Consider the following 13,888-nt stretch of genomic DNA (forward strand, 5'->3'; position numbering starts at 1 on the left):
ATTACAACAAAAAGAATTTTCAGGTGCTAGAGTTTAAATATTTAAATATGTAAATATGTGTTGTATTTTTATATTGATCATAGTTGTACATATTTTTGAGGTACATGTGATATTTTGATTCATGTATACAATGTGTAATGATTAAATCAGAGGAATTGGGATATTCATCATCTTACAGATTTATCTTTTTTTTTTTGTATTGGAACAAATTCATTTTTGTTTGTTTGTTTGTTTTGGGACAGGGTCACCGTTTGTCACCCAGGCTGGAGTGCATATCTTACTATAGCCTTGACCTCCTGGGCTCAGGTGATCCTCCTGCCTCAGCCTCCCAAGTAGCTGGGACTACAGGTGTGTGCCACTATACCTGGATAATTTTTTTATTTTTTGTTGAGACAGGGTCTTGCTATGTTGCCCAGGCTGGTCTTGAACTCCTGGGCTCGAGCAATCCTCCCACCTCAGCTTCCTAAAATGCTGGGATTATAGGCGTGAACCACTGCACCCAGTCTATGTTGGGAAGGAATATTATAACTTGTCTCCTCTAGCTATTTTGAAATATACAATAAATTATTAACTATAATATAATACAGTATGATGTAATAATATATAGTATTGTATCAATACTATATATGATTAACTGTAATTTTCCTACTGTATCATCAAATACACAAACTTATTCCATCTGACTGTACTTTTGTACCCATTAACAAGTATGTAAATATTTAAATGTAGTTTTAAATATTTAAATTTGGAACCACATTTACACGCTGCTGTCACATCATCACAATTAGTTATCATTTCTAAAGGCTTTCCTATGTGCCAGCCACTGAGCAAAGTGCCAACAACTACATTTGCTTTTCCATTCTTGCCTTCTACTCATCCATAACCCATTGCGCTCTAACCTTCACCTTCCCCCTGTCCCTGAGACTGCTCTTTCAGGAGCAAGCCTAACACAGTAGAAAGCACCTGGGCTTTGGCATAACATCCACGTAGGGTGAAGGACAGATTCCCCTGTTTTCTAAGAAAAGTAAATGGCTGCTGGGCAGGCACAGAACAACATTTACTCTAGAGACAGTGATGAGGATAGCTCAGAGGACAACCAAAAGGATAAAAAAGAAGTTAGGCTCTTGGAGAGAATGAGTAGGTCAGGGAGAAAAGTTCCAAATAAAAGTTACAACCAACATGAGAAAATACACCTCCAGGAATGATGGTCAGAAGTTCCATAAAATGGTAGAACTCACAAGTGAGGAAGTGGAAATAATGACTCAGGAAACATGTTTACGACCATCAAAGAAATAAAGGAGTGAATCACTTTCTTGAAATGAGAAGAGGAGTGGCAGGCATTGGTCCACTGCCCACCCACCCCTTTTCCTTTTTCATTGCGAATACAGCTCCATTTATTTTCTCTATGCCTAGTATTGGGGAATTCATTAAGCCTTGGAAATCCTGTTCCCTTTTGTCTGTGGTTGGTTGAGATGTCATGTAACACAAGCCTGGGCATGAAAGGTAAGGGGCTTTTGAAAAAAGGAGAAGTTCCTGAAATAAGAAAAAAGAAATGTGAGAAGAGTTGAATCGTTGTCCTCTTCTGTACTCCACTTTGAACTTGGTCACAGGAGTTTTTGAAGCCTAGAGTTGAGGAAGCATCTTTTGTGTATAAAGAAACAAATGTAAGGCTGAAAATCCAAAATGCTAAAGATGGCAGAGGAAAGAAGGGAGAGATTCTGGGAGCTTGAAGATATTTTTGGTTCACCTTCTCTCACAAACAAAGACTACAACTACCTAGCTACAAACTTGTTGTTGTTTGAATAGATGATAGATGGAGAGGAGGAATGGAAAGCTGGATGTCTTTGCTTACTTAGGAAACGGTTGGGTATTTGCTGTTTGGCAAAAGAATTGCAACTAAAACAAGTGGGTTATTAAGAAGAGTCAGATATTTTAAAGATGAAAAATACCAAAAAAAGAAAAATAAAGCCATTGAAACAAAAATAAAAATGTGTAATGTAAAATTCAAATGTGGTTAAAAAGCACAATGTGGAATTATATTAGTGCCTTATAAATAACTTTCAAATAAAATAATTATGAATAGTTTGGCACATATGTCTTTTTCTTCTTTTCTATCTATCATTATTGACTTTTAATTTCTTATAAGCATTGTTACATACTATTCATAATGTTTTGCAGATTCCTTTTTCAATTGTCTTTGTATAAACTGTCAATCTTGCTTAATCTTTTTAACGACTATGTGATATTCTATAGCACAGAGCAAGTTAATACATCCTTCAGGGATGGCAACTGGCAGTAGCTGAACTGAAAACTAAAAATGTCAAATATTTGCATCCCTAGCAATTATCCTATAAAATATCCCCCAAATAATGCAAAAATGTATGTAGCCTAGAATATTTATTGTGGCTTTGTGTGTACTAAAACAACAACAATAGAAACAGATGATAAATCCCAAATATGACTCTATTTTAGTTCTTGATCACATCTTTTGATTCTGTGTTAGCATTTTCCAGAATGCAACATGCAAGGGCCTACTTTCTGTCGTAATATTCTCCAGAATGCAATAGATACCAATAGTAAATTATTAATATTGCCTACTTTTAAACTTTTTTTTTAACAAGCATTCTGCTCTGGTGGCTGCTGAATATTGTTGTCACTTCAGTGACTAATTGCTTTCACCAAAAGAGTGATGTGGAGTACAGAATCACCTACACATCACTGTTTTTGTATTCTGTGGTTATTAATGGACTAATGGACTATAAGGTTTTAATGAATAGAACATAAATGCAGAGACAGGAAAATATATTAGTTTTTTTTCCCAAGAGTGATATGCCTTAATTACACTTAACTCCTCAGGTTATTAGCTACATAACTACCGGTGGAAGAACTTATAATCACTCTCGCGTGAAACTAATGAATATGCTTTTACACATTGAATATCATTTTATCATTTACTTTAGACACAAAAAAAGACTGGCTTTTCTGTGAACATGATGATAATATCATGTCATTTATTCAAATATTAGAGAACCTGTCACATTTGTTCCATAAATACTTATTGTGTGTTTATTATGTGCCAGGCACTATTCTAGGTTGCTGGGGTTACAGCAGTGAACAGAAAAATCCGTTTTGGGATAGGGAACTGTTCCTACTCTCATAGGAAGTAAATGAAATTTCTATGTGGATTGCCCTAGTTGAAACTTAGGGGGAAAATTTTGATGTATGTCATTAAGGTGGACATGACTAGATGGCTTATACTTTGATTGAAACAAGCCTTCTTTTACAAATAATTGATAACAATCAGTTGCAAAATCAAAATTCACAATGGTTATTTGACTACTGAATTTGAAATTTAGAAACATTTCTATAGTAATAAGCTAGTATTTTAAACTTCAGATGGAGAATTTGTAGTGGGATAATATGAAAATTTATTTAAAATATACTTGTTATCCATTATCTTTTGCTGCATAAACAAACCTGCCCAAAATCTTTTGGCTTAAAACATCATTTTTTCCAACTCACTCTTCAGTGGGCTAGCAAACTAGGGCTGGGCTTAGCTGGAATGGTTCTTCTCTGTTCCACACAGTGTTGGCTTGACTCTTTCAGGCATTTGCATTCCGTTAGCAGGTCACCTGGGTCTGCGTGCTCTCACGTGACCTCATTCACGTCTGGCAGTTGGCTGGGGCTTCTCCATTCTCATCTATATTGTCTCTACTAGAGTTTCTCTTGCACGTGTTCACACAGCAATAACATTGGAAAGCTGAGACCAGAACCTGTGGGGCTTCTCGGGGGCCTAGGCTCGAAGTTAGATTGTCATATCCTCTCCGTTCAAGAGAATGGAGAATAGATGCCACATTTCTCTCTCTCTCTTTCTTTTTTTCTTTAGGCTTCAAATGAGTCCTTTAATTTGTATATCAAAGTCATTTTTTCGTGTAGTATATGAATGTTTAATAATTACACTCTAATTTACTTGCCTTGTTTACTGATAGGCGTTTCCACATTTGCATTTCTGACATAACTTCTTAAAAAATTTTACTTCAATAGGTTTTTAGGGAGCAGGTGGTGTTTGGTTACATGAATAAATTCTTTAATGGTGATTTCTGAGATGTCGGTGCACACATCACTCGACAGTGTGTACTTTACCCCAATGTGTAGTCTTTTATCCCTCACCACCTCCCACCCTTTCCCCCAAGTCCCCACAGTTCATTTTATCATTCTTATGCCTTTGCATCTTCATAGCTTAGCTCCCACTTAGGAGTGAGAACCTGTAATGTTTGGTTTTCCATTCCTGAGTTGCTTCACTTAGAATAATGGTCTCCAGCTCCATCCAGGTTGCTGCAAATGCCATTATTTCATTTCTTTTTATGACTGAGTAGTATTCCATGGTGTGTGTGTGTGTATGTGTGTGTATGTATATATATATATATATATATAAAATCTATATCTCACATTTTCTTTATCTACTCATAGATAGCTGGGCATTTGGGCTGGTTCCGTATTTTTGCAGAAAAATAGACTGCATATCTCAATGAAAGAACTGCAAAGAAATGTGTGGTGTTTTATAATCTGCCACATTGTATCTTATTCTGTTGTATAATATAAATTGGTAGAAACTAAATATAAAAATAGCACCTAACTTTTATGATATTTTGGTGGTAATTTGGTATGGTTAGATTTGTTTGAAAGCCAAATTAGAGTTCTACTTAGATGTCCCCATCATGGAACAGGGAATAAATTCTCCATTCTCTTCACAGCCAGTTAAGCGCAACTTATCATTTCTAATAAACTATACTCTTACTTCCCAGATGAGTTCTGCTAGTCTGTTCTTGTCAGAAAGACACATGAGCAGCAGCTTACCAGGTGGCTAGGTTAATTTTTAATTGTCATGTTTATTCCTGTGAAAAATAGATTTGCCTGATGAGCTGAGAAAAATGAAGGAGATGCAAAAATGGTGGGTTGAATTCTCACAGTGTCCAATTTACTGTCTTGGAAGATACACAATTGCTGTGTTGACGAGGGTTTGGGAAACAGATATCCTGGTGGTGGGAATATAAGTTGGCAGGTCCATTCTGAAGGGCACTTTGTAGATTTCTACGACATCCAGTCATATAACATTTTAAAAGTAGGCCTCACCTGTTCCTTCTTATTGGGCATACTTAGGGATCATTTCCCCAAATGTGTTCCAAACGGCGCTAGTTCTAGTAGAAGTAAATGGGTGGCTCCAATCAAATGTTTTCTTGGGCAAACTAGTCTGGGAAATACATCATATTTCCCATGCAAAGAGAACTATTTTCTGTGGGGCCTTGGGGAAGGGGGAAGGGAGTGCTGCTTCTAATAGCTCAGATTGCTCATATCTTCAGGATGGACCAAGGAAACAAAGGCATTTTAAGGTACATTATTGTACTGTGGTCCCTCAACCCCAGAGATCTCTTGCCCAAATGGTAATGCAGCTGATTGTCCGTTGGGGCAATATCAAGCTCTGAACTTCAGTGGTATACTGTGCCAAGTTGTTTTCATTTAAAGATGTTAAAAAGAAAAACTGAAAGGCACAAGTTAAACCAGGGAGTTTTGTCCAGAGCAAAATGTGTCACTAAGAATTGTCAATTGGAAGTTTGCTGCTATCAATATTTGGGCCAAAAATATTTATGAAATTGCCAATCACACGCAGTTTCTCCATCGCCAAAACTATACTTCCTCTTTACTCCAATCTGGGGCAGAGAGTTATAGCCCAGAGTGTTGGTCAGTCAGTCTCTGAATTAACACAACAACATTAACTAGTACCTGTTGAGACCTCACGTTGCATTAACTATGTGCTAGAAATACAGTGTTAGAAATGAAGGATGTTTCCACCATAACTGAGCTCTTCCCTCCAAATATTCACTCCCTTGTTTTTACTTTTCTTATTTAGAGAGACAGTATATAGCAACATGATCAATAGTATAAAGAAAATTGTGAAAAACTCTGAAATTCAGTGGGTGTCCTGACTATCCAACTGGGCTAGCTTTGCCTTTGTTTGCCACGGTCTCGTCAATTTTACAACTCTGTAAGAAAGCTGATAGAAATGCAAATAATTCCTGTCCATAGAACAGCAAATTGAGTTTGGAAAAATGGAATTGATTATTGCTGTGTGGATATTGACTGCTTTTGCTAGTTCTGCAATCGTTTGTAAATTCATTTCTGCTTTCCTTATCTGACTATAAAGATTCTTTTTGAACCATGTCAAAACTAGTCGTTCTCTCATTAGGTAATACGTTACATAATTTTTTGACATTTTATCTTTTATTTGTGTGTCATGATTATGTCCTCTTATAAAAGTTATCCTTGAATACTAGCGTGTACTCTTAAGTCTAGTTGCCTGAGTTCAAAGTCAATTGTCTGGCTCTGCCACTTACTTGAAGGGACTTACTTACTTTGCTCCAGTTTACCTAAATCTGAGCCTTTGTTGACAGGCTTATTTTGTAGAATGAGAATAATTGTAGTATTGTCAGAGGCATTTGAACCAGAGCTACTCCATCTTGAATAGGGGCTGCGTAAAATAAGGCTAAGACCTACTGGGGCTGTATTCCCAGGAGGTTAGGCGTTTTAGTCACAGGGTGAGGTAGGAGGTTGGCACAAGATACAGGTCATAAAGACGCTGCTGATAAAACAGGATGTGGTAAAGAGGCAGGCCAAAACCCACCAAAACCAAGATGGCGATGAAAGTGACCTCTGGTCGTCCTCACTGCTCATTATATGCTAATTATAATGCATTAGGATGCTAAAAGGCCCTCCCACCAGCGCCATGACAGTTTACAAATGCCATGGCAATGTCCAGGAATTACCCTATATGGTCAAAAAAGAAAAGGAACTCTCAGTTCTGGGGGAAATCCATACCCCTTTCCTGGAAAACTTACGAATAATCCACCCCTTGTTTAGCATATAACCAAGAAATAACTACAAGTACACTCAGTCAAGCAGCCTATGTAGCCATTCTTTATTCCTTGACTTTCTTAATAAACTTGCTTTCACTTTACTCTATGGATTTACCCTGAATTCTTTCTTGCTTGAGGTCCAAGAACCTTCTCTTGGGGGCCTGGATTGGAACCCCTTTCTGGTAACAGTATCTAACTAGTTGAGTTGTTGTGTGGATTAAATGATATACTATGTGTTAAGTACCAGTATCTAGTTAAGCCCTGAAAAATAGGTGCTACCATTATTAATTATCAATATTTATGGAGCAGCAGCTGTTTGACATCAGGGAGGGAACAAAATATACATGGCCTCTGGATTCATGGAACCTGCAGCCTGGTGACTACTCTGAGAAGCTAGTCACTTGCAAAGCAATTTGAAACACCACTGCAAGAAAAAGCACAGTCATGCCTCTCCATTGCATGAGTTGCTTTCTTGTAAAGAAGTGCTTAGTGCGAGCATTACATTTAGACTTTTACTGTCTTCCCTATACATTTATTTCCAAGTTAATACCCAATGATGAGCTACTTGAATTAAATTCTTGTAAGTTTTAATCTCATTCTACCTAATGTGTTTGATAATAGGGTGGCTCTTTCTAAAAACCAAGATTAACTATGTCCCCTTGGGAAAACGTAATTAAGCTGTGAAAGACACAGGCCAGAGGCACTCCAAAGCCTTGCTGTTCAGAATGTGGCACAGGCTCAGCAGCAGCAGCAACAGCAGCAGCAGCAGCAGCAGGGAGCTTGTTAAAATGCAGGTGCTGTCTCAGGCTTCCTGGATCAGAATCTGCATTTTAATATGATCTCCAGGTGATTTGGATGCGCATAAAAGTTTTTAAAGTATTTCTCTGGAAATTCTGACTCCCTCTCCCCACCTAACCCACAGATATATCTCTAGCTGGATGAGTTGCGTGTTTTAAGCATGAACCAGCCTCACCACTCAGTACTGTGAATTTATAAGTATTAGTTCTATTGCAATCTCCTTGAGAGGTAGGTCTCCTTTTCATTAATTTACCCTTAGCAATTAGTATTGTAGCACATAGCACATTGTAAACCCTCTCTAAATACTGGTTGACTGGCTGAATGGATCTGAATTTCCCAACATCATTAGCTCTATACAATTTAGCATCGAGCTGGATTTTTCCAATGAGGCAAACACGTTCTCATGAAGCTCTTCAAAGACACACAAGGAGAAGGTTCTAACACATGGGCCTGATGAATTATGTGTTTTTGATGACTCATTAAAGGAAGAGGGAGAGGTGAAACCAAGGGTTACTCTATTCCAGGAGGCAGCGTTGTGTAATGATAAACACACACATTTTGATGCCTCCAAAGTCTAGGCTCAAATCCTGGTTCTGTTCCCTACCAGCTTTATAGTATTGTGCCAAATTTCTCTGAGCCTCAGTTTCCTCATCTCTCAAGTGGGAAATATAATAAGCTTATGCCTTAGCTTGGATTTCCCTGAAAGCAAATTCTGAGATAGGGATTTGGGTGAAGATAGTTTATGGGGGCAGGGAGGGATGGAGGATCCTTGGTATTGAGAATGAAGTAGTGGGAAGAGTAAACAAAGGACTAAGAAAAGTCATAAGCATTTTGATCAAGAACCTGCTGAGAAACATAGGGAATGCCTCCCAGAATGGTTCATTAGAAGGATGGGAGGTAGGTCCCCCATTGGTTGAGGGGTGTCCTCAACAGTAGTAATTCCTTCGCAATGGCTTGTCCCAGGTGAGCCTGTTCTCAGGAGGCAGAAGCAGAAACTGGGGTGCTTGAGGTGCACCTGAGACTGAACAAAGCTGGCCTCTGCAGCTGCAGATGAACTCAGAGGTCACAGCACCATCAATGTCTGTTACAGCTTTCCAAGAGGATCCAGTGAAATCACATTTGCAAAGCCAGGTATCACAAGTGCTCGAAAAATGCTAGGAGTGTCACCCACTCAGTGCTGCTTTGGGGAGCTTCAGTTTCACTCCTCACTTTCGAGAAGTGCAAACAATTCTGTTGACACTTTCCCATCCTTGCATTCTCTCTCCTTCCTCTTCTTCTCACTCTGTATGCCCTCAAATAAGAATAAATCTTGTCTGGATGGCAATAAGAAGCAAATCTAATCAGATTTGGGAGATGTGGTCAAAGCTCAGAGAATAAACGGTTATACAGATCCTTTCCCGTTCCGTTTCTGTTTCCAGCCTGCCATTTTTACCTCACTGCAAAGAGAAAATGGAATTGATGGAGATATAGGAAAAATATGTATGTATGTGTGTATAGATACAAACCAATATATCTATATATATTTACATTGGTACCCAGTAAGAGTGAAAACTCTAAATGGTTGTTGTCAGGGACAATGTGTGTTTTCCCAGATTTTGTTCTGTGAATTGAAACCGACTTTGCTATTATAAATGCATCACTATAATTGCCCTGATTTAGCCTGGCAGTTATGACTCCTGCTCAGAGCCAAATGTCTCCCAGCCAAGACCCAGTGAGCTTGCCAAATTGTTTCACCTCTTTTATTGTCAGAACTCATCGCCCCTCCTCACACTGTTGTGCTTTTCTATAATATTTTAGGTATATTAATCATAAATCCTGGAATTGTTTATCTACAAAAAATTGAAGTCAGGGAGTCATGGAATAGTCATTTATCATGGGCTTTGGCTCAGTGACTTGAAACTAAAAGTAGAAGAAAAACAAAAGCACTGATTGTGTAGAGGTGGCCAAATGCCTGGAGGTTAAGTGAAATGAAATTAAAGAAAAAAGAAGTCCTCTCTGATCCTTAGCAGAAATTATTCACTTTCTGAAAGAAGCTTTTTCTCTATTGAGACTTCTATTTGGAAATGTATATTATAGATTTTTTTTTGCCTGTTAATCTGCTAAATGTTCATTTAACAATAGAAAATGTTTGATAATAAAACCATTGCTTTTTCTGATAGAGGTACTTCAATTATGAGGATTTTATAAACGTGTTCTAAGTATTCAATGCTTAATAGTGGGGTTGCTATACTATTGGGTGAGATATCAACCTGGTGTGCTGGCAGACTTACTTCTACACAGAAAGAGACTTTTTGAGAATGAAGCCAATACAAGCAAAACAGAGCCTAGATGTTGATGACACCTGATGGTCCTGGATACAACCATGCCTGAAGCTGGTTTTCCTGCTGCATGAGCTAATATTCCAGCTTTTACTTAACCCATTTTTAGCCAAATTTCTATAACTTGCCCTTAAAAGTCCTAATTAATACATTTGTCCAGCATGTCACCTGCTTTTATCATTTTTAAGACAAAAGTTATCTAACTCAGCCTGAAATGTAAAATCTCAAAGAAAAGTGCGTTGAATATGTGCTGCTGAAATGTGTGCTTCCATCATTAAAAAAATCCACCTGACATTTCAATTTAAATAATGGACTTACAGCTTTCATTAATATTTAAAATAGCCTTGTATGTTTTGCAAGATTAAAAGTGATACAAGCAGAATCAGGGTTATTATTTAACAGGACAGGTGACTTTGTTTATTTAATATTATAATAAATGTTATTAAATATTGAGATAAGAACATTTAACATGAGATCTATCCACTTAGGGAATTTTTAAGTTTACAATACACCATTGTTGGCTATGGGACAGTGTTGTAGATTATATCTCTAGAACTGTCCCATCTTAATTAACTGAAATTTGTGCCCAACTTTCCCACTTCCCTCTTCTCCAAGTCCCTCATTCCAGTCTTTGACTCTGTGAATTTGTAGTTGTAAAACACACTAAAAAGTTATCACAGGCATTTTAATGTTCTGGAGGCTTGACCAACATCTGCTGCATGTCTAGGTATTTCTGAAGTCATCTCTAAAAAGGTAAAACTTGGAAATAATCCTATTTCAGTAGAGTAATTGACATCTTGCAGATATTATAATAGAGCAGAGAAGTGGGATCAAGTTATCAAAATGTACTTGGCATATTTTATTGATCGTTTTTTTCCTGGTTTAAAAACTGAGAAAAGGAAGCCCAGGTGTTTGTAAACAACATTTCATGTGACCCATCTCCATATATACCACCTTCTGGTAGCTTCCACACATTTGATCTACTCATGCCTTTTCCATACCCCACCAAGGTCATTTAGTAAAGAGAAGGAGAGATTTGGAGTGTGCAATCACAAGTGTGGATAGTGAGAAGTGATTAATAGAAGTAGGTAGGCAAAATGCATCTTCTGTAAAAGGGATGTGGAGCTGTTGTAGAGTTGTTCTCTAGTTTACACCTTAACAAATAGCAGTTTAGAGATTGCTTGTGGGGGTTGTTAGTGTGTTAGGTTATAGGATTAGCTATGTTGTTGTGGCGATTTGCTTAATTAATGGCAACAACTGGATGTTGAAATTGGGTGGTAGTTTGAATGTTTGGTAGCACATGATTCTATCGTGGAGAGTGTTTATGCTTTTAAATGATGATGTTTTAAAAAGGCAAAATCCTGACCTTCATGCAAATACAAAATGAAGATGTGTCAAAGATTTTCTTTCATTTATTAATTGATAAGGGAATCAATAAGATGTTACAACTGGTGCAAAGGAGAATCCAAAGAACAGACAAATATATAGCTCATCAAATGCTGAAATGAATTTCTTTAGTAAATACAAAACTAGTCAATATCCACTGGACAATAATCAATGGCATGCCACCAAATATAGTTGGCATTCCTGTGGACAAGAGTCATTTCCATTCCTCTTAGTTTTTAGCTCAAAGACAATGAAACATGGAGATAACCTTGATGTATGAGCTGGACAAGGAATCTACTAATCTTAATTTTGTTCCTAATGGAAAATCTTTCACATGTCTTCATAATGTCTCAGCACAAGATGCTTCTTTTATGGGAAATTTTGTCTTGCTATCATGTTTAGAATAAAATCCCAACTCCTTAGCATGACCACAGAAACTTTACAATGCGAGTCTTTCCTATCTTCCTGATCTTATATCTAACATCTTCCCACTTCTTTCCCTGCCACTTCCTACTCACTTTTTTCCCCTTTGCCTTGAATGTCAGAAACCTCCCAGAGTTGAGCACCTGGTGTATTAGTCCGTTCTCACACTGCTATAAGGACATACCTGAGACTCAGTAACTTATAAAGGAAAGAGGTTTAATTGACTCACAGTTCAGCATGGCTGGAGAGGCCTCAGGAAACTTACAATCATGGTGGAAGGGGAAGCAAACATGTCTTTCTTCACAGGGAAGCAGGAAGGAGAAGAATGAGAGACAACTGAAGGGGGAAGCTCCTTATAAAATCCTCAGATCTCGTGAAATCTTACTGGCCTCTCAAGAATAGCATGGGGAAAACCACCCCCATGATTCAATTAGCTCCCACCAGGTCCCTCCCATGACACATGAGGATTATGGGAACTACAATTCAAGATGAGATTTTGGTGGGGACCCAGCCAAACTATATCATCTGGGTATGCTGTCTTCTTCAACTAGAAAACTCTGGCTCTGTATTTACAGGTTTCAGTTCAAATCCCACCTTCTGAGCGACATTTTTCTGACCATCCAATCAAAAGTATTTATCTGTGTCAATCTCCCTCATACTACCCTTCTTGATCCTCTTCATAGCACTTATTATTCCAAGCAACCTTGTATAATTTTACGGATTACATTTTATATATTGTCCACCCCTTCCCCTACTGTAAGCTCAATGAGGACAGTGAATTTGTCTTATTCACTGCTGTATCCCTGGTTCCTAGGACAGTGTCTAGCACATGGAAGCTACTGTATAATTATTTATATGTTTAAAACTATATTTATTCTTTGGAAATTTATTTGTGCAGTACTGTCTTAGTTATGATAACTTTAGACAACCCTACCTATTGCAGATGTAACCCCCAATCCCCAAGTCTCTGTGGCTTTAATGCAACAAAAGCTCATTTCTTGTTTAGGTAAGAGTCCAGGAAAGGTGTCCTGGTTGGATGGCTTTTGTCTAAAGTCCTGGATTCATGGATCCAACTTCCTTACATCCTGCTCTCACACCATTTGCAATACCTGGCTTCCAAGGTTGCTTGGTTCATCTGGAATGAGTCAAAGAAGGGAAGATATATGGGAAGGTTTATGGGCAGACTGGGAAGTGGTATACATCACTTCCTTCATATTCCATTGTCTGGAATTCAGTTATGTAGCCATGCCTATCTACAAAAAAGAGAGAGAGAACTCTGCTCCAGCCCTGCACCCAGAAAGTAAAGAAAATGTGCTGGGCATTGTGCTGGAAACAGGGACTTAGCTGTGAGCAAATGAATATTTTCAAAATTAGAGCTTTTATGAGTATAGGATAAGTTGTTCCGGACAGAAATGCTTATCAAAAAAAAATTTAAGATTTTAAATATTTTGTTGTAAAAAATCAGAGAATATATGAAACAAGGGATTACAAGTTAATATTTGGAAATAATATTTTCGGGCCAAGCCTAAACAAAGGATTTGAAAAGAAGAAAGTATAGCAGAGGGAATTTGAAAGCAGAAATATGTTAGATAAAGCAGCTTTTGGCTCTAAAAGCCAAAATCAAATATTATGTTTTCCAAAAGAGATTTCAGGTATAAAGTTGAACTTTGTCACCTGAAATAACTGAATTATATTCTCTTTCCTGTTTGTAGACACTCAACCCTATAATGATAGTTGAATCTAATAAAATGCAAATACTCATTTTAACTGGAGTCGACTGATTTTATAGACACAATTGTTACTAGATTTTCCTATGAGAATGATGACATAATTGAATTGCTCCTTTTAATCCTTTTTCTTAATATCTGTTTAGATGGAAATAAGAATTTTGCCAATAGGAACATATTAACTGGATTAATTTCCAGTTCTGTGGGACATTTTTTTCCTCTATAAGAAAAAACATCTCTCCACTCAGTATAGATCCACTATGACAAATTAGTATTGTCCTTTGTTCACAGCTCACAGTAAGAGAAATGTAAGCAGGTATTAGCC

The 13,888-nt window shown here is 37.6% G+C and overlaps 1 annotated feature.

Moving 5' to 3' along the window:
- Window positions 265-1,464: an enhancer, noted in NCBI's record as "CDK7 strongly-dependent group 2 enhancer chr20:52901007-52902206 (GRCh37/hg19 assembly coordinates)". NCBI's record gives its function as "activates an origin of replication core promoter dependent on BRD2, BRD4, P300/CBP, MED14 and CDK7 cofactors, with strong dependence on CDK7, by STARR-seq in HCT116 cells {active_cell/tissue: HCT116}" and the evidence as "EXISTENCE:reporter gene assay evidence [ECO:0000049][PMID:35650434]".

This window comes from Homo sapiens, chromosome 20, assembly GCF_000001405.40.
Source record: "Homo sapiens chromosome 20, GRCh38.p14 Primary Assembly".
NCBI classification, from domain to species: domain Eukaryota; kingdom Metazoa; phylum Chordata; class Mammalia; order Primates; family Hominidae; genus Homo; species Homo sapiens.